The sequence below is a fragment of the Homo sapiens genome, chromosome 20 (genome assembly GCF_000001405.40).
Source record: "Homo sapiens chromosome 20, GRCh38.p14 Primary Assembly".
NCBI classification, from domain to species: Eukaryota; Metazoa; Chordata; class Mammalia; order Primates; family Hominidae; genus Homo; species Homo sapiens.
This window is the reverse complement of record NC_000020.11, coordinates 17,909,811-17,930,704: the sequence shown is the minus strand read 5'-3', so window position 1 is coordinate 17,930,704 and position 20,894 is coordinate 17,909,811. Positions and strand designations below refer to the sequence as shown.

The 20,894-nt window shown below is 45.5% G+C and overlaps 1 annotated feature.

Annotated features, from left to right (window-relative positions):
* Positions 922 to 1,448: an enhancer, noted in NCBI's record as "H3K4me1 hESC enhancer chr20:17909901-17910427 (GRCh37/hg19 assembly coordinates)". NCBI's record gives its function as "activates a minimal SCP1, AML or CMV promoter by ChIP-STARR-seq in naive H9 embryonic stem cells {active_cell/tissue: H9 hESC(naive)}" and the evidence as "EXISTENCE:reporter gene assay evidence [ECO:0000049][PMID:30033119]".

Genomic DNA, 20,894 nt, shown 5'->3' with positions numbered 1-20,894 from the left:
ATTAGCTGGGCATGGTGGTGTGTGCCTGTGGTCCCAGCTACTTGGGAGGCTGAGGTGGGAGGATCATCTGAGCCCAGAAAATCAAGGCTGCAGTGAGCTAGTGATTGCACCATTGCACTCCAGCCTGGGTGACAGAGCAAGACCCTGCCTCAAATAAAATAAAATAACAAATAATCAGAACGGGCCTGTGGAATAGTGACTAAATGCCAGTAGCATTTTGGGGTCCAGGTTTAGATGAGTCTTCAACACCAGAGTGACTTTTTGGATGGCGGGTGATGAGGACTGGGCAGGTGGTGGCCCAGGCGTGGGGAGGTGTCCACGGCAGGTGTTCTTGGCTGGGCAGGCAGCCAGCAGGGCCGGGGTCTGGAATCCACGACATGAAGACTGCACATATGAGAAGGTGGGGGGGACCAGGGATACCCCGAGGGCAGGGGAGTGGGGTTTGGGGTGGTTGGTGGGGAACGTGACAGCAGCCAGCCAGCCTTTCAGGACCACCAAGGGAACAAAGGAAGAGGCAGAGCCAGGTGTGTGGGGTAGGAGAAACAGATTTAACTGGCTTCTGAGGAACCTTCTGGTCATCAGAGCAGCCATTGTGGGAGGTCAGGAGGGCAGGTGGGCTGGAGTGGATGGTGCTGGTTTCCGCCTGCCCAGCCTCCTGCCCTTGGTAGAATCCCGGTTTTCCTGTGGGGCACCTCCCCACTTCCAGTCTTGCCCTTTCTGGTAGGCTGCCCCCACCCCGCATGCAGCTGTGGCCAGAGCACTGGGGTCTAGCCTAGGGGAGCCTCATCTCCTTGCATCCAGCCACAGATACTGGCTCACACACTGGCACCTGACCCCTGGCAGTCCAAGGACAGGGAGCCCCGGGACTGTGGCCGGGCTGATAGTTGGGGATGCACTCCCATTCTGTTGGAGCTGCAGGGCAAGCTGGGGTTAGTGGGGACTGCAGGGGGCCATAGAAGGGAAGGCAGGACTGAGATGATGGGAGAGATTCCTGATGGCATGGCTCAAGCACCTGCATCCCGGCCGTATCCACTACACGCCAGGCACCATGCTGGTGGGGACATTCAAGGGTCGGTGGTTATTTGCATTCCAGTGTGCCCAGTGCCAGGGGAGCAGGAAGCCCAGGGGCCGCGGAGCCCAGGGGACAGGCAGGGGCATCTCCCTGGGCTGGAGGTGAGGGGTCAGAGAAGCCTTCTGGCGGGAAGTGATTTGAGCTCCCATAGCCCAGGGGGTCGTCTGGACCATTAGGCTGTTTCCAGCCAAGGGACAGAGCAGGTGTGGCCACTTCACTCTGCCCTGGACCCTCCTCCCTCGCTGCCCCTCACTCCCTGTGCTGCCAAAGAGTGCTGCTCCCTCTCTGAGACTTCGCTTCCTCTTCTGTTACTTGGCTCTAATGAGCCCTCTGCCTAAAATCACTAGGGAAGGTGGTGAAAATGCACATTCCTGAGCTTCGACCTGCAGTGTCCTGGAGGGGTAGGTGTGGGCTCAGGAATGTGCCTCTTACCCAGCGCCCAGGGGCCTCTATTGAGAGCCCTGCACCCACACTTTGAGAAGCTCACTGAAGAACGCCAGCAGGCCCTTTGGTTTGGGGGATCCACTGAACGCGCTGTTGAAGTGGGACAGGTGTTTGGCCAGGGCCTTCCAGCCGTGGCACCGTCAGAGGCTACGGGTGGCCCCTCTGGGACACACCTTTGGCAAACACCAGCAACTGATCCCGTGGATAGGCTCCTCATCCTGACAGCCTGAGTCCAAGCCCTCAAGGTGCCGAAGCACCTGCCGAGACGGGGGAAGGACCTCCGTAGAGGCAGCCTCGCCAAGGGCCCCTGGGGAGGGTGGCTCGGGGCTGAGGCTTCCTCGCAGTCATCCCAGGAGACCCTATCTAGGCCATGTTCCTTCTGGGGCCTCGGCCACCTGGCCTTCCTGCCGCTCCGCACCTTTGTCAATATTTATTTCTTCTCTGGACTCGAACAGCCTGGTATTTGTTTAAAGGGCAGGAGCAGACGTGGCTGTTCCTGCCTCCTTGCCTTGCGCCCTGCTTCCTGGCACCTCCCCAGGGTGCCTCTTGCCTGCAGGTGGGCTCACCAGGCAGGCCCACCTCTGTCCCTGGCCCTCCCACTGGGGCCAAAGGCCTCACAAGAGCTTTCTCACTTCACCATTGACTCCAATTTCCCTCGAGACACCTTGACCTGGGCCTCTGGCCCAACGCACATCATATGTGGCCTACAGGCCTAGAACTGAGATGCTCAGAGCATTAGCAATGTTCCGAAAATACTCCTGGCTTCTGATCCAATAGAACAAGCCACAAAGAGGTTGTGGCAAAAGGTCATGTGGTTTGAAACAGATTTGCACATCATTTTCGGAGAAATCAGAGCCTGTCCTGGGCTGAGGCTAGGGCGTGGACCTGGGAGACCTGCACTGGGAATGCGGAGCTGCTAATACTCCTGATAAATGTGTGACTGGCCCTCGGACAGGTCACTGGACATTTTTTCTGCCAAACAGATTCAGATGTGATTTGTCATTTTTGCCTCCTCCCAGCCTCGGGGGCATGCTTCGGACAGAGGAGGCTTCAGCCTTTACCTCCCCACTCCCACATGCCAAAATATTTTGAGATCTGTTGCCTCAGTTTTGAGTACTGCTCACATCAACACAATGTGGGGATTGTTCCTTTTCTAATAAAGATACTGCTGAAAAACTGGACATTTGATGCTTTTTTAAAAAACCTTTATATTTTGACCCACTTTTAGAAAACTAGTAGTAAAAGTAGCAGAAAATTTGCAAGCCTGGTACAGGCAACTTCTCTATGTCCCTCCAGCAGTTGACCCCAATCTTGCAAAACCATAGCACAATTTGCAAAGCCATAGCACAGTAATCAGAACCAGGAAATTAACCTCAGTACAGCAGCCTTAATCAAACCAAAGATCCCGTGTGAACTTCACTGGTTTTCCCATTAACGTCTTTTTCTTGCTCCAGAATCCCATCCAGGATCCCGCATTTGCATATAGTTGTTTTTTTCTCTCTAGTCTTCTAGACTCTATAATAGTTCCTTGGTCATTCCTTGTCTTTCAGGACCTAGATACCCATGAAGAGTATTGATCAGTTACTTTGCAGAAGTCTCTTAGTTCAGGCCTGTCTGAACTTGGGCTCAGGTTGTGCATCCCAGGCAAGGGCGCCAGAGGCCTGGGGCTGCATCCTGCTCACTGCACGTGTCACGGGGGCATGGCGTTGATGGCTTACGTCTGTGATGATGGCCCTGATCACCTGGTCAAGTGGTCTCTGATGGGCTTTTCCTTGGTAATGTTTTTTCTGTCCCCAAACCCCACCCTTGTCAACAAACCTCCTGGAAGAGATACTTAAGGCTTTGCAAACCCCTTTTTTCCTCAAACCTTCCACCTATTCTGTTGTCTATTAGCAGCTCTTGTCTGCAACAATCACCACTGTGGTGTTGACCTAATGCTGATTTCTCCTTTGCTCCTTCCTTCCGCATGGATTGACTGGATTTTCATTGCAAGGAAGAGCTGTCACTTCCCTATTGACTTATTTAATCAAATACTTATATCAGTGTGGACTTGTGGACATTTATTTAACTCTATGGGTTATTGTCCTAAACTATCATTATTTTTCTTATTGTTTAAATTCTTCCAACCTTGACCATTTGGAGCTCCTTCAGGGCTCCTGTGTTCTTTCAACAAACCACCATCTTCTTCTAGTTCCACACGATGTTCCAGGATTTGCTGCTGGTTTTGCTCAGTTAATTGTTACATATTCTCTTTGGGTTCTGCATAGATTGTGAGCTATGAGAACCACAGATCACATCTTCTGCTTGATATCAACTACGGGCTAGATTATGCTCAAAACTTATTTCTGAGTCGTTGGCAGAGCCAGTTCTTTGGAACTTGGAGATTGGCAGTTGTGATTGTTGTGTTGGGAGCAGTTAAAACCAGGCGGAGCCCAGTAGGCTCCAACTCTGCTGTCTTTTACGGCTTATGTTCATTCTACCTTAAAGTCTCCATGTGACCACCTAGAGTTCAAAAGCCCCAGAATACCCAACTCAGACTAACCTGTGGCTCCCTTTGCCTGGCACACAGAATAGTGCCACGGTTTCATGCTGATAACCTCGACCTTTGTCTGAGAGCTGTACCTGATCTTACCAACAACACTGTGAGAAAGTTGGAAAGTTTCTTAATTTGGGTTCCCCCAGAAGCTGACTCTGTTGCATGGATTCTTGTGCAAGTGTTTTATATGGACAGTGATCTCAAGGGGCTGTAGGGAAGTGAAAGAGGGAGAGGAGGGCGACTGATTTGGGGTGTATTGTCAAGCACCTCATTGCTGTGGGTAGCTGGAGCTCAGTCTCATGGGGGGTCCCTGGGAGACAGTGTAGAACTCATACCTAAGAATGATCCTGCCCCTCAGGAGTTGGGGTGTTAGGCTATTTGGGGGGGTTGCTCCTGGGAGTGTGAATTCTCTAACACTTCTAAGCACACAGGCAAAGTTGTACACAGGGATGATCAGGGTCTGCAGGATACAGGTGCAGCCCCAATGTCACCCACTGCAGGCAGAGCCCATTTTACAGATGAATAAACTGAGGTTCAGGGAAGCTAAGTAATGTCTAGAAATGGTGCAGAGACCTGGTACTTGAACCTATGAATGTGGGTAAGGATTGGGTTAGATGGTTCTAAGTCTCCACCCAACTCTGAGATCTTCTCTCTTTGCACCCACTTCTCATGGCATGTTCCTTCACTGCTACCTGCTTGCCTGCCACGAGGCAGACCGGCCATTACAACCCACCACCCATGGTTTCTGGAAATGGCCTCCCAGACTTGGCAGGGTGAGTATTTGCACAAAGGCACACCTGAGCAAAATGAGTGATGGTTTGGCCTGATGTCTTGGTAGTTGCAAGTTCATTGCTTGAGTCGGACAGGATAAACCCCGTGTTGTTTTAGGAGGTTTGAGTTACATCGACCCCACCGATAAGCAGTGTTAAAAGATTAGGTGAATTGACGGAAGGAACTCCTGGCTTCTTCTTTGCTTAGACTGTTGGGCTGACAGATAATCTACTTATCTCCTCCGACAGCGCCAGAAGATAGACATTCCCAGTGCTGAGATATATGTTGTGCTGCGTCACAGTTTCTCACTGTTTCTCCTTTCCCTCCCTGACCTCCCAGATCTAGTTCTTGGCCCTAATTCTGACTCCCCCCTTCCCCCATCATGTAGCCTCAGCCTGTCCTCTTAGTGAACTTTTGGACCCGGGCCATGGGTGTTAGTCTTTGGACTCTCGTGAATCTTTGGAGGGAATTCTAGGCTAGGAGACCTAGTCTCAGGCCCAGCCCTGCCAATAAATACATATGCATGTGGCCTGGGTGCAGCCTCAGCCTCAATGTCCCACAGGAGGAACTGGAATGTTTAAAGAGGAAATTATCCCTGCCTGGTTCACCTCCTAGGACTTCTGGGAAGTTCAAACCAGATGAGGCTGCAGGAGGATTATCACAACCCAGGACTTGGCTGACTTCCTGGACTTGAGGCTGGCTTCAAAGGACATATATATGGATAATACACATACAAAAAGAAGCTCCGTCTCGTTGGTATTCAGGAACATGTGAGTTACAACAAGATACCAATGGTGGTGGGGATCTAGCCTTTTGAGGGGCAAATTGCCACTCTCGATTACAATAAATGATGTCTAAATCCTGTGCCCCAGAGAGTCATTCTTTAGATTTATGGCAGAGAGATGCTGACATGAGAATGAGAGGGTAGGCATGCATTAAGCTGTCCACAAAAGCAGCTCTTCTCAAAAATCTGGGAATCTGGGGGCAAGGTCTATTGTTTTGTTTTGGTTTGTTATGTTTTTCTTGAGATGGAGTCTTGCTCTGTCACCCAGATTAGAGTGCAGTGGTGCGGCCTCGGCTCACTGCAACCTCTGCCTCCCAGGTTCAGGCAATTCTCGTGCCTCAGCCTCCCAAGTAGCTGGGACTACAGGTGTATGCCACCATGCCTGGCTAATTTTTGTATTTTTTGTAGAGACGGGGTTTCACCATGTTGGCCACGCTGGTCTTGAACTCCTAACCTCAAGTGATCACCCGCCTCGGCCTCCCAAAGTGCTGGGATTATAGGCTTGAGCCACTGTGCTCAGACTGTGGTCTAGTTTTTATTTCTGATCTGTCATAAACACGTACATTTTTACTTTTGTAGTAAAAATGAATTACTAGAGAAGTGAAAATTTAAAAAATAAAGACTTAGAAAATATAAGCCTCCAATTTTTATTGGAAGATTCGATATGACATTACCCCGCCAAATTGCTATAAAAGTTTCTCAACACCTATCCCAAATTTCTGTTCTTATCTTGTGGTAGACGGCTAATAAACTGCACCTATGGGCCGGCACGGGGCTTTGGACCACAGACTGCTGTGCAGCCCCATCACTTGCAAAAATCCTGGAAAAACGGAAACATCTATCCCAAGCAGAATGGCTATAAAATGTGTCATCCTTACTATAAACTCCATGTAATAGTAAAATGTAAAGATGGGAGATTTGCCAGTCCTGACATGGGAAGGTGGCTGACATACATTATTGAGTGAAAAAGAAAAAAAAAGCAAACTGCAATATGACATACCGTTTTCTCATGTGTTAAAGGAAAAAAAAATCCACACTAAAGCAGCACAATATATTTCTTATGGATACATAAACATCTAGGAAAATGTATACAAAAAGGACTGGAAATTTATGCCTCTGGTATTGGAAATGGCAAGTATAGGAGGAATCTTTTGTAATGGTTTAATTTTTGTGATATTATTCAAATATTATTGTGTAATTAAAAAATAACATCTTAGCAAGGTTGATGTAAGGCAGGCAAAAGCCTCTCCCCACCCCTCGAGTTGCACTAGGAACTAATTTTCTCAGCATCCGTCTACCTCCTCACAGAGGGACGCCATCACCCACTTGCTAAACAGGTAACATATGGACTCAGATGAACAAGCATATCAAGGGCAAAGTCACGTGAAAAGAGCCGCCCTGGCCAGGTTGCAGCCTGAGAGGTGGGGAAGGCATCGCCGATGCTTGGTTGCACGTGAGTCCCTTGTGAGGTGGCCAGAGGCAGAAGCAAAAATTTGGATTTCAGAATCTAACGTAGGGTAACATTCTAGCGCCCGACTTCTGAGTTGAGAGGGTAGACTGAGCCCAGGTATTAGGCTCAGCTCTCTCCTGAATCTTGGCTAAACTGACAGTAAGATGAGCAAGACCCCCAGAGAATGGAGCTGGGAAGCAGATGGAGGAGTGGTCATTGACTTCGCAGATGGGAGGCTACTGCATCCTCAGTCAGCAGTGGGGGGCGGGGGCGGGGGCGGGGGGCGGGCAGGGGAGCGAGAAGTGATATGGCTTATACCACAGAACCCCCAGAAGACCCTTTTCCTTTTTCCTCTCTGTGTTCTTTGACCCTAGAGTTCTGACATTTTGTGATGATTTACCTTTATATGGATCTTGCAATGTGGGAAATAAGTTCCTTTCATTCTGGTGGTTTTTTGTATTAGTTCCTTGATAATCTCCTTCCCCACTGTTTTCTCTGTTCTTTCTTGGAACTCTTCTGAGTTGGATGTCTGTATTGTGTTAGTCAGGGTTCTCCAGAGAAAAAGAACCAACATGACATTCATGCTCTCTTGCTTTTTCAGAGAGAGAAAGATTGAGATTTCTTTTGTTGTTGTGTTTCTTTTTTTGAGACGGAGTCTCGCCCTGTTGCCAGGGCTGGAGTGCAGTGGTACGATCTCAGCTCACTGCAACCTCTGACTCCCAGGTTCAAGCAATTCTCCTGCCTCAGCCTCCCAAGTAGCTGGGATTATAGGCGTGTGCCACCACACCCAGCTAATTGTTGTATTTTTAGTAGAGACAGGGTTTCACCATGTTGGCCAGGCTGATCTTGAACTCCTGACCTCAGGTGATCCACCCGCCTCAGCCTCCCAAACTGCTGAGATTACAGGCGTGAGCCACCGTGCCCGGCTGAGATTTCTTATGGAATTCACTTGTGTGGTTATGGAGGCTGAGGAATCCCATGATCTGCCATCTGCAAGCTGAGACCCAGGAAAGCTGGTGGTGGAGATCAGTGGAAGTCAGAAGGCCTGAGAATCAGGAGGCTGGTGGCGTCTTAGCTTAAGCACAAAAGCATGAGAACCAAGGGTGCTGATGTCCAAGGGCAGGAGAAGGATGTTTCAGCTCAAACAGAGCAAATTTGTTCTTTTTTGCTGTTTTGTTTTATTCAGGTTCTCAGTGAATTGGAGGATGGCCACCCAAGTGAGGGAGGCCATTTGCTTTATTCACTTCACCAATTCCCATGTGGATCTCCTCTGGAAACAGCCTCACAGACACGCCCAGAAATAATGTTTAGCCATGGGCATCCCTCAGCCCAGTCAAGTTGACATAAAATTAGCCTTCACAATTTCAGACCACCTGAATGAATGCCATCTCTTTCTTGTGGGTTTGTTTCCTACTTTCCATCTTATTTTTTTATTGCTGTTCTACTTTTGGAAAATGTCACTGACTCCATCTTTTAATGCATCTTTTAATGTTTGATTGTTTTCAATTAAACTTTCTATTTTGAGATAAATATACTAGATTCACATGTAACTGTACAAAATAATCTAGAGGTCCTGTGTATCCTTGGCTGCTATGGTAACATCCTGCAAAACTACAGTACAATATTACAACCAGGATGTGGACATTGACATAACACATCAGATACACACACTTCTGTCCCTACCAGGATCTTTCGTGTTGCTCTCTTATAGCCACACCCACTTGCCTCCTGCAGCCACTCCCTCCTTAACCCATTTCTCTAACTTTCCCATTTCAAGAATGGAATCATATAATATATAAACTTTTATAATTGGCTTTCTTTCACTTAGCATAATTTTCTGCCAATCCTACCAGGTTATTATTTGTATCAATAGTTTATTCCTTTTATTTATTTATTTATTTATTTATTTATTTTTGAGACAGTGTCTCACTCTGTCACCCAGGCTGGAGTGCAGTGGTGTGATCATGCAGCCTCAACCTCCCAGGCTCAAGCGACCCTCCCACCTCAGCCTCTGGAGTAGCTGGAACTGTAGGCTGCACTACCATGCCCAGCTATTTTTTTTTTTTTTTAATAGAGACAGGGTCTCACTATGTTGCCTAGGCTGGTCTCGAACTCCTGGCTTCAGTGATCCTCCTGCTTCAGCCTCCCAAAGTGCTGGGATTACAGGTGTGAGCCACTGTGCCTGACCAGTTTATTCCTTTTTAGTGCTGAATAGTAGTCCATGATATAAAAGTACTATCTTTTTTAGAACCATTTCCCATTAAAGGAATTAGGTTTCTTTCTAGTTTGGGCTGTTGAGAATAAGGCTGCTATAATCATTCATGTATAAGTTCATATCTGAACTTAAGTTTTTATTCTCTGGGATAATTACCCAAGAGTGAAATTGTTGGGTCATATGGGAGTTGCATGTTTAGATTTTTTTTTTTAAAGAAACTGTCAAACTGTTTTCCAGGGGGCTATTTCATTTTACATTCCCACCTGCAATGTATGAGGGATCCGTTTTCTCCACATCCTCACCAGCATTTGATGTTGTCCCTATTCTGTTTTGTATTTTAGCCATTCTGATAGATGTGTATAATATCGCATAGTGGTTTCAATTTGCATCTCCCTGATGGCTGACATTGTTGAGCATCTTTTCATGTATTTATTTGTTATCTGTACATCCTCTTCAGAGAAATATCTCTTCATATTTTTTGCCCATTTTATTCTAACTGGATGGCGTATTTTCATACCGTTGAGTTTTAGGGATTCCTTATGTTTTCTAAATACTTGTCCTTTGTTGAATAAGTGACTCACAAATATTATCTCCTAGTTTATAGCTTGCCTTTCACCCTCTCAACAGTCTTTCACAGAGCAAAATAACAATAACAATAATAATAATAATAATAATAATAATAATAATAATAGTTTTCTGAGACAGGGTCTCACTTTACCACCCAGACTGGAGTGCAGTGGTGTGATCACAGCTCACTGCAACCTCAGACTCCTGGGCTCAAGCGATCCACCCACCTCAGCTTTCCATGTAGCTGGGACTACAGGCACATGCCAGCATGCCTGGCTAATTTTAAAATTTTTTGTAGAGATGGGATTTTGCCATGTTGCCCAGGCTGGTCTTGAACTCCTAGCCTCAAGCGATCCTCCTGCTTTGGCCTCCCAAAGTGCCAGGATACAGGTATAAGCCACTGCACCCAGCCCAGAGCAAAAAGTTTTAATTTTGATAAAGTTCAATATACAGTTTTTTTCCTTTTACAGATAGTGCTTTTGCTATCAAGTGTAAGCCCTAAACTCTGGAGATGTTCTTTGTTTATTTATAAAAGTATTATGGTTTTACATTTTTCATTTAAGTCTGCAATCCATTTTGAGTTAATTTTTGTAGAAGGTGTGGGGTTTAGGTGGGTCATTTTTTGCCTCTGGCTATCCAGTTGTCCCAGTATCACTTGATGAAAAGGCCAACTTTTCTTTTCTTTTCTTTTCTTTTCTTTTTTTGAGATGGAGTCTCGCTCTGTTGCCCAGGCTAGAGTGCAGTGGCACGATCTCGGCTCACTGCAACCTCCGCCTCTCAGGTTCAAGGAATTCTCCTGCTTCAGCCTCCCGAGTAGCTGGGACTACAGGTGCCTGCCACCATGCCTGGCTAATTTTTTATTTTTAGTAGAGATGGGGTTTCACCGTGTTGGCCAGGCTGGTCTCGAACTCCTGACCTTGTGATCCACCCGCCTCAGCCTCCCAAAGTGCTGGGATTACAGGCGTGAGCCACTGCGCCCGGCTGAAAAGGCCAACTTTTCTTCATTGAATTGTGTTTGTGCCTTTGTCAAATATCAGTCGTGCATATTTTTGTGCATCTAATTCTGGATACTCTGCTCTGTTCCATTGATCTATGTGTCTCTTCCTCCACTAGCACAACACAGTCTTGATTACTGTAGCTGTATTGTAAGTCTTGAAATTGGGTAGGCTGATTACTCCCATTTTATTTCTCTTTCTCAAAATTGTATTAGCTATTCTTTTGCCTTTCTGGATACATTTTAAACTAATGTTGTCTATATCTACAAAAAACTCTGCTGGGGTTTTGATGGGTATTTTTTTAAACCTATGCAATTTTTATGGAGAACTGACATCTTTTCTGTGATGAGTCTTCCAATTCATGAACATGTGATGCCTCTCCATTTATTTAGATCTTTGATTTCTTTCACTGGCATTTTGTAGTTTCAGCCTACAGATCCTGTGCAAGTTTTTTTTTTTAAATTTGTACTTTTGAGACAGGGTCTTGCTCTGTTGCCTAGGCCAGAGTGCCGTGGCACGAACACGGCTCATGGAGCCACCGTGCCGGCCGGAAAGTTTTGATAGATGTATATCTGAGTATTTTACTTTCTTTTTGTGCAATCTGTGTTATCAAATTTATATGTGTAGAGCAGTTTGTAATATTTTCTTGTTATTCTTTCGATGTCTGCAATGTCTACTGATAGCCTCTGTTTTATTCCCGATATTGGTAATTTGTGTTTTCCTTTTTTCTTTCTCAGTCTTGGTAAAGTTTTGACAATTTTGTTGTTTTCTCCAAGAATCAACTCCTTGTTTTATTGACTTTATTATTTTTTTTTGTTTTTGTTTCCATTAAGTTCTGCTTTTATTATTTTCTTTCTTCTATTTGCTTTGAGTTTATTTTGCTCTTCTTTTTTTAAGTTCTTGAGGTGGGACCTTACATTGTTGCTTTGAGACTTTTGATCTTTTTTTTTTTTTTTTTTTTGATGGAGTCTCGCTCTGTCGCCCAGGCTGGAGCGCAGTGGCGTGATCTCGGCTCACTGCAAGCTCCGCCTTCCAGGTTCACGCCATTCTCCTGCCTCAGCCTCCCGAGTAGCTGGGACTACAGGCGCCCGCCACTACGCCCGGCTAATTTTTTGTATTTTTAGTAGAGACGGGGTTTCACCGTGTTAGCCAGGGTGGTCTCGATCTCTTGACCTCGTGATCCGCCTGCCTCGGCCTCCCCAAGTGTTGGGATTACAGGCGTGAGCCACCGCACCTGGCATGATCATTTTTTAAGAACACTTATTTTTTTTAACAGTTTAGCCAAAACTGAAGAGAAAGTACAGCTACCATATACCTCCTTCCTCCAACCCACAACACACAGTCTTCTGCGTCAGCAATACCCCGTACCAGGGTGGTAGATTTGTGACAATTGTTGAACCTACACTGACACATTGTTGTCACCCAAAGTCCAAGTTTACATTAGGGCTCACTGTTGGTATTATACATTCTTTGGGCTTTGACAAATGTATAATGACATGCATTCATCATTATAGTATCACACAGAATAGCTTCACTGCCCTAAAAATCCTGTATGCTCTGCCTGTTTACCCCTCCCTACCCTTCCCAAACCCTGGAGACCACTGAACTTTCTAGTGTCTCCATAGTTCGGCCTTTTCCTGAATGCCATATAGTTAGAATCATATAGCATGCGGCCTTTTCGGGTTGGCTTATTTCACTAAGTAATAAACAGTGAAGATTCCTCTATTTATTTTCATAGCTTGAGAGTACATTCCTTTTTAGCCCTGAATAATATTCCGTTCTCTGGATGTACTGGTTTATTTACCCATTCACCTACTGAAGAACATCTTGGTTGCTTCCAACTTTTGGCAATTACAAATAAAGCTGCTATAAACGTCAGTATGCAGGTTTTTGCATGGACACATTTTCAAGTCCTTTGAGTAAATACTAAGGAGTGTGATTGATGAAAATGGTATGGTAGGAGAATGGTTAGCTTTGTAAGAAACCTCATGAGGGGGGTTTTCTCCAGTCTTTACTGTGAGAAACCAGTAGAACTCCTGAAGGTAAAACTCACAAAAGTATGGCATGTGGCTGGGCGCGGTGGCTCATGCCTGTAATCCTGGCACTTTGGGAGGCCAAGGTGGGTGGATCACTTGAGGTCAGGAGTTTGAAACCAGCCTGATCAACATGGTGAAACCCCATCTCTACTAAAAATACAAAGATTGGCTGGGCGTGGTGGCACACGCCTGTTATCCCAGGTACTCAGGAGGTTGAGATGAGAGGATCGCTTGAACCTGGGAGGTGGAGGTTGCAGTGAGCCGAGATTGTGCCACTGCACTCCAGCCTGGGTAACAGGGGGAGACCCTGTCTCAAAACAAACAAACAAAAAAACCCCCAAGAAACCAAAAGTATGGGCATGCCCTTCAAGACTGGCCCCATCCCCGGAGTTTTAAACTCTTAGACTTGTCCACACTGAGCCTCCAGCAATTTGTAAATTGCAGTTCAGGCTTTCCTGTCCCTGTACTTGTTCCTAGCAAGGTCTCTGCACCTGTGACTCTGCAGTGATAAGTTGTGATTCTCTGTACGATCTGTCTGTCTCTCCAATTTTGGAGGCAGTGGTTTGCCCTGTGACCTCAATTCTGTGACAGATCTAAGAAGTTTTTTTTTTTTTTGAGACAGTCTCACTCTGTCACCCAGTCAATCTTGGCTTATTGCAGGTTTGACCCCCTCAGACTCAAGCAATCTTCCCACTTCAGCCTCCTAAGTAGCTGGGACTACAGGCAGACGTCACCACACCCAGCTTATTTTTATTTTTTATTTTTGTAGAGACGGGGGTCTCCCCATGTTTCCCAGGCTGGTCTCGAACGCCTGAGCTCAAGCAATCTTCCCACCTCAGCCTCCCAAAGTGCTGGGATTACAGGCATGACCCACTGCAACCAGCCAAGAGTTGCTGATTTTTAGTTTGTTCGGTTTTTTTAACTTATTAAGATGGAGTCATGACTTCCAAGTTCCTCATATGTCCGATTGAAAACTGGAAGGAAGCTTCTTTTCCTGTTTTTAAAGTTTTGATTCCTGTATTGGTTATCTACTGGCACAATGACGCTGCCTAATAAACAACTACAAAGTCTTAGTGACATATAAAAGTATCATCTGTTTTTAGTCACAAGTCTACCAGTTGGTTGGTTGGTTGATTTGTTCTGCTGATTTATATTGGGCTCTGCTGACTTTGCTTGGGATCATTCACTTGTAGAAAGGCAGCTGGTGGTTAGTTGGGGCTGGCGGAGCTTTTAGGACTCAGCTGGTATTACTTGGCTCTGCTTCATGTGGTTTCTTATCCTCCATCAGGCAGGCCAGATTGGGCTGTTCTCAGGATGGCTGGGCAGGGTTCTGCAACACAGCAGAAACCCCAGGCCTCCTGAGACCCAGGATCAGAACTGTATAATGTCACTTCTGCCTCATTTTGTTGGACAAAACATGTCACGAGATCATCTCAGTGGTGGTGAAATTATTATTATTATTTTGAGACAGAGTCTCACTTTGTCACCCAGGCTGGAGTGCAGTGGCGTGATCTCAGCTGCTCACTACAACCTCTGCCTCCCATGTTCAAGGGATTCTCATGCCTCAGCCTCACCAGGTAGCTGGGATTACAGGTGCACGCCACCACGCCCGGCTAAATTTTGTTGTTTTTTTTTTTAGTAGAGACGGGGTTTCGCCATGTTCCCAGGCTGGTCTCAAACTCCTGACCTCAAGTCATCTGCCTGCCTCGACCTCCCAAAGTGCTGGGATTACAGGCATCAGCCACTCTGCCCGGCTGTGGTGAAATTATTAATTCAACCTCCTGGTAGAAGAAACTGGGGCTATCCTAGCAATACCTCACAGTTTCTGTCCTTGATTTTTAGAGGCTTTGTTCAAATATCCACTAATCTTTTGTTATTTTTTGTTTGATTTTTAAAAATCCATATGCATATTGTACTGGGGTCAAAATATAAATTTAAAAGTATTTATACCTTGTATTTGGAATTTATATACAATATTTCCTGCAATGTTATTTCATTTTATTTCCTGCAATACAATGAAAACATGGAAAATTCTAAGTGTCCCAATAATGAAAGAACCATTCAGTAAATTATGTTATTTATTAAATGGAATATTCAGCCATTGAGAATAATGTCCTTGAAGTTTTAAATGCTCAAGATCTCGCTCTCTCTTTTTTTTTTTTTTTTTTTGAGATGGAGTCTTGCTCTGTTGCCCAGGCTGGAGTGCAATGGCACGATCTCAGCTCACTGCAACCTCTGCCTCCTGGTTGAAGTGATTCTCCTGCCTCAGCCTCCCAAGTAGCTGGGATTACAGGCACCCGCCACCACACCCAGCTAATTTTTTATATTTTTAGTAGAGATGGGGTTTCACCATGTTGGCCAGACTGGTCTCAAACTCCTGACCTCAAGTGACCTGCCAACCTCGGCCTCCCAGAGTGCTGGGATTACAGGTGGGAGGCACTGCACCTGGCCAAATGCTCAAGATCTCTTGTTGAGGGAGAGAAACAGGGTACAAAACTGTTTCACATAGTGAAATCCACCTGACGAAGCCCCCAAATCTCAGTGGCTTACCCAGCACAGTGTCCTTCCTCCCAAGAGTCCCACTGGTCTGGTGCTTAACAACTGGGCTTGGTGCTTGGGGGTCTGTTATTCTACGACCGCAGTGAAGGAGCCGTGGCTGGCTGGGGCAAGCTCTTTCCATGGCAGATGGCAGGAGCATAAGAGAAGGAGGGGAACATGCAAGACTTCCTAAGGCCCAGCCTTGGGACAGGCACCCTGACACTTCTGCCAGCCTGTTGGTCAAAACAAGTCAATGGTCAAGCCCAAGGGCAATGTGGGCAGGGAACTCTTTTCCATGCCCTGGGTTGGGGTCAGGGAAGGCAGGAGGAGAAAATTCTTATTGGACAGTAAGACAATCTACCACACTTCTTCACAAACTCCTTCAGCTCCCTGGCCCCTCTCTCTTTGTAGAGCCCCATCCTGAATGAACACAAATATTTCCCTTCTCTACCTACATACCTGAGCAGCAGAATATTGCTGGAGAAAAGTTTGTAACTTAGCTAATCAGCTAATTTCTCTATAAATGAATTATCTCAAGCATCAATTGGATACTAAACATGGCCTGCCTAACTTCTTTTCCCTCCATAGGTGTATGTATATTTGTGTTAGTTTGTTTGTTTATGGTGGTAAGAAAACATACAACACAAATTTTACCTCAGCCAGTTCTAAGTGTACAATACAGTAGTGTTAAGTACATTCATATTGTTGTTCGACCAAGCTCCAGAATTTTTTCCTTTCCAAGCTGAAACTCTATTCCCATTAAAAAACTCCCCATTGCCCACTCCTCCACAAAGCCCCTGCTAATCACCATTCTACTTTCTGCTTCTATGAATTTTATTACTCTAGAGATGTCACATACATGGAACCATACAGTATTTGTCTTTTTGTGGCTGGCTAATGTCACTTAGCATAATGTCCTCAAAGTTCATTCATGATATAGCATGTGTCAGAATGTCTTTCCTTTTTCCTTTTTCTTTTCTTTTCTTTTTTTTTTTGAGATGGGGTCTTGTCTGTCACCTAGGCTGGAGTGTGGTGGCACAATCTCGGCTCACTGCAACCTCCGCCTCCCAGGTTCAAGTGATTCTCCTGTCTCAGCCTCCTGAGTAGCTGGGATTAAAGGCATGCACCACCACACCTGGCTAATTTTTGTATTTTTAGTAGAGACAGGGTTTTACCATGTTGGCCAGGCTGGTCTTGAACTCCTGACCTCAGGTGATCCGCCTGCCTCAGCCTTGCAAAATGCCGGGATAACAGGCATGAGCCACCACACCCAACTGTTCTTCCTTTTTAAGGCTGAATAATATTCCACTGTGTATTCTATATTTTGTTTATTCGTCCATCGACAGACAATTGAGTTGCTTCCAGCTCTTGGCTATTGTGAATAGTGCTGCTGTGAACCAGGGTGTATGAATGTCTCTTAAAAGTTCTGATTTCAATTCTTTTGAGTATAAACCCAGAAGTGAACTTGGTGGATCATATGGTAATTCTATTTTAATTTTTTGAGGAACCACAATACTGTTTTCCACAGTTTACATTCCCACTAACAGTATGCCTAGCTTTTTATATTTCTCCAGGAAGCCTGCTTTGCCACTGCCACCAATGACTTTGTCATACTTTCTCTTCCTCTAAACTCCCCTCCACTCTTCTACTCTTACTGTCAGTTTCACCCGCAGATGCTGCCTTATTTTACTGAGAAGAAGACCGTCAAATCCAAAAAGAAGCCATCAAATCCAAACACACTCCTTCTCCCGATTTCAGACCACATTCATTGTCAGCATCTTCTCCTTCTCGTCTGTTACGACCGACGAAATGCGTCTGCTCCCTGTCAGGGCAAACCCCTTTGCCTGTGCTCTGACTCCACCTCTCTTGCCAACTCAAAACTTCATTACTTCATTCATCTTTCTAATTTCCTTCCCCGTCCAAATTTCCTTCCAATTTCTATCACCCATCTACTGGATCCTTTTTGTCAGCATTTAAGTAGGCTGAGTGTTGTCCACCTTTAACAGAGATTCACCCTTAAGAGTTCATATCATCTCTGTGATATTCTTGCCAAGAATGTTTAACCTGAATCCAATCATGACAAAAAAATCAGGACAATCCAGAATGTGGGACATGCTACGTGACAACCAGCCCAAACTCTCCAATGTCAGTGGCATGAAAGACAGAAAAATACAGGGGACTGTTTCTGATTAAAGGAGACTACAGAGATGTGGCAACCAAATGGAATGCATGACTCTTGATCGGATGCTGGACCAGAGAAAAAGCTACAAAGGACATTTTTAAACATTTGGGGAAATGTGAATATGGTCTCTTTATTAGATAACTTTGATGCTAAATTTCTTTGAGTGGGATATATCATGAGGTCATGTGGGAGAATGAGCTCGTTCTTAGGAAAAGCATGCTGATATACAGGGGGGTCTGCAACTTTATTTCCAGTGATTTACCCCAAAGTGAATACATGCGGGTATGTGCATGGGAATTAAATGTGACAAAGGGTTGACAAATGATTAAAGTGAAGGGTACAGAAGTGTTCATTGTTCTATCCTTTCAACTTTTCTGTAGGTTTTTCATTTTTAGGAATTAGCCATATTGGTATGGGTCTATTTCTAGACTTTTTATTTTCTCCCATTGATCTGTACATCTCTCCTTTTGCCAATACCACATAAGTCAAGATGACTATAGCTTTGTAATAAGTATTAAAATCTGGTAATATAATTCTTCCAATTTAAAAAAAATAAAAATAAAAATAAAAAGTTGAGCAGAAAAAGAACCTTTCTTTTATTTTTCCTTTTTTTTTTTTGTTTTAAGACGGAGTCTTGTTCTGTCACCCGGGCTGGAGTGCAGTGGCACGATCTCAGCTTACTGCAAGCTCCGCCTCCCAGGTTCAAGCAATTTTGTATTTTTAGTAGAGACAGGGTTTCACCACGTTGGCCAGGATGGTCTCAAACTCCTGACCTCAGGTGATCTGCTCCCCTCGGCCTTCCAAAGTGTTAGGATTACAGGTGTGAGCCACTGCGCCTGGCTAAGAATTTTTCTTTGAGCTATATCTGCCTATAGCTACATCCAATTTATCCGCTGGTCTTCTCAGTTAAACTTCTGAAGTCATTGACACTCAGTGCTCCCACTGCCTCACCTCCCATCCACCAGTGGTTTCTGCCCTCACCGCTGCCTTGAAATTGCTCTTATCAGGGCCCAGACAATCTCCATGCTGGCAATTCCAATGGTGGTGTTCCACATAGGTGGCTGCTTCCTCATCCTTGAAACAGTCTTGTCTCTTAGCCTCTGGGATAACTTATCTCTTGGATTTCCTTCTACCTCACTGATCTCTTTCACTCTTCTTTGCTTGTTCCCTTTTCTCCACCCAACCTGTAAATTTTGGGCTCCTTGGAGCTCAGGCTCTTCCTTCTTTAAATTCTCCTTTGCTGTTGTCATCAATTTTTATCAATTTTAAAAAAACTGAGTTTGTTCCAGTAATACCCAAATATGTACCTCTAGGTTGGATCTTTCCCACACTTGACTACTTGACAACTCTCTTCTTGACACCACTCCTTGGATATTTCACAGACATCTCAAGTTTAACTTTTAATCATTTTTTCATTAACTGAGCCTATATTGATTGAGCACCTGCTGTGTACTAAGTAACTGTTCTAAACACTGGGGACATAGGGAGACAAAACAGTACGACTGTACCATGAGAGCACATTCTAGCTGGAAGAGAAGGATGATAAGCAAATAAGTAAGAATTCATTTGTGGTCAGTGCTATGAAGAGAATAAAATAGGAAATATGTTAGATACATTGGATGGACTGTATATTTTGGATGATCGGAGAAGGTCTCTCTGAGCCTGATGTAGATGAACCCCAAAATTGGGGCTTAGCCTGGGAGGGTTATTGGCTTTGCTCAAGAAAGAATTCAAGAGTGAGTTGACAGTGAAAGAAAGCAAGTTTATTAGAGCAATAGTGTATAGCAAAATGGTGGCTCCGCAGACAGGGCAGAGCTGTCCCATAGACAGAGTAGCCCAGAGTAGCCCAGAGGAGCAGTGTACAGCAAACTGGCTGCTCCACAGAGCAGTCCTGAGCAACAGTGGCAGTGTGAGGCAGCAGTAGCAATGTGGAGGAGGAATCAGAGCAGGAGCTACCGCTTGGATTGCTGGAGTTCTATTTATACCCACTGTTAATTATATGCGAATGAAGGGGTGAGTCATTCAGAATTTTCTAGAAAAAGGGTGGAGAGTTCCTGGAACCATATAAGGTAACTTCTGGGTCATTGCCACGGTACATTGCCATGGTATTTGTAAACTGTCACGGCACCGGTGGGAGTCTATTTAGTAATGAAAAATGAGGGCAGCCAGAGGTCACTTTGGTGGCCATGTACTGGTTTCAGCTGGCTTCTTTACTGCATCCTGTTTTTGTGTGTGTGAGTGTGTGTGTGTATGACGGAGTCTCTCTCTGTCACTCAGGCTGGAGTGCAGTGGCACGATCTTGGCTCACTGCAACCTCCGCCTCCCGGGTTCAAGCAATTCTCCAGCCTCAGCCTCCTGAGTAGCTGGGATTACAGGCACGCGTAATGCACCCGGCTAATTTTTGTAGTTTTAGTAGAGACGGGGTTTCACTATGTTGGCCAGGCTGGTCTCGAACTCCTGACCTCAAGCGATCCGCCCGCCTTGGCCTCCCAAAGTGCTGGGATTGCAGATGAGAGCCACCATGCCCGGCCCTGCATCCTAGTTTTGATCAGCAGGGGCCTTACAGGTGCTCAGAAAATAAGTCCTGCTGATTTTCTACCTCAAAGAGACCAAGATGAGACCAAGATGAGAAGACAGGGCCAGAATAAGCAGGTTTAGAGAGGAGGGCTCTAGGCTGAGGAGAAGACTAGTTTCGACACCCTGAGGGAGGAATTGCTTGGCTCCAGAACTGAGATGTGTCCAGATCTAGTTTTTAATGTGTCCCCAGGACAAGAGCTTTGATCTCTTCTTTCTCTGGTTTGTATCTTTGAATTTCAGGCCATGTAAGACCTGCTCATCAACTCTGTCTGAAAAACCTTTGGTTGACCTGAATTTCTATTCTGGAATCTTCTTCAAATTAGCAGCAGCTTTTTCTCTGAGCTAGAAAGCACTTTGATTCTTTTATTGGCAACAAGTCAGGAATTTTAGAACAAGATGCAGGCATTTGTCAGCGTGTTACAGTCCTTCTTTTCCACATGCAAAGTGCAAATAATAATCCTGACATCTGCTTGAAGGGGAAAGGTTTCCATTGTCCAGTGAGTCTTGGGTCCCACCCCTAGCCCATCCTCTACCCTCCACAGCTGCCTTTGTTTTTCTGGAGGCTGGAGGAGACTGGGGAGACAGAGGTCTTGGGACTGACAGCTGACACAGGCTGTAAGCGTCCCTCTAAGCAAAGTAGAAAGGGCGACGACCTGACCCTGTTCTGTAACCTTCTCTGTAGAAAGTGCAGTGATGCTGACAAAGATGATGATAAAATCTCCTGCAC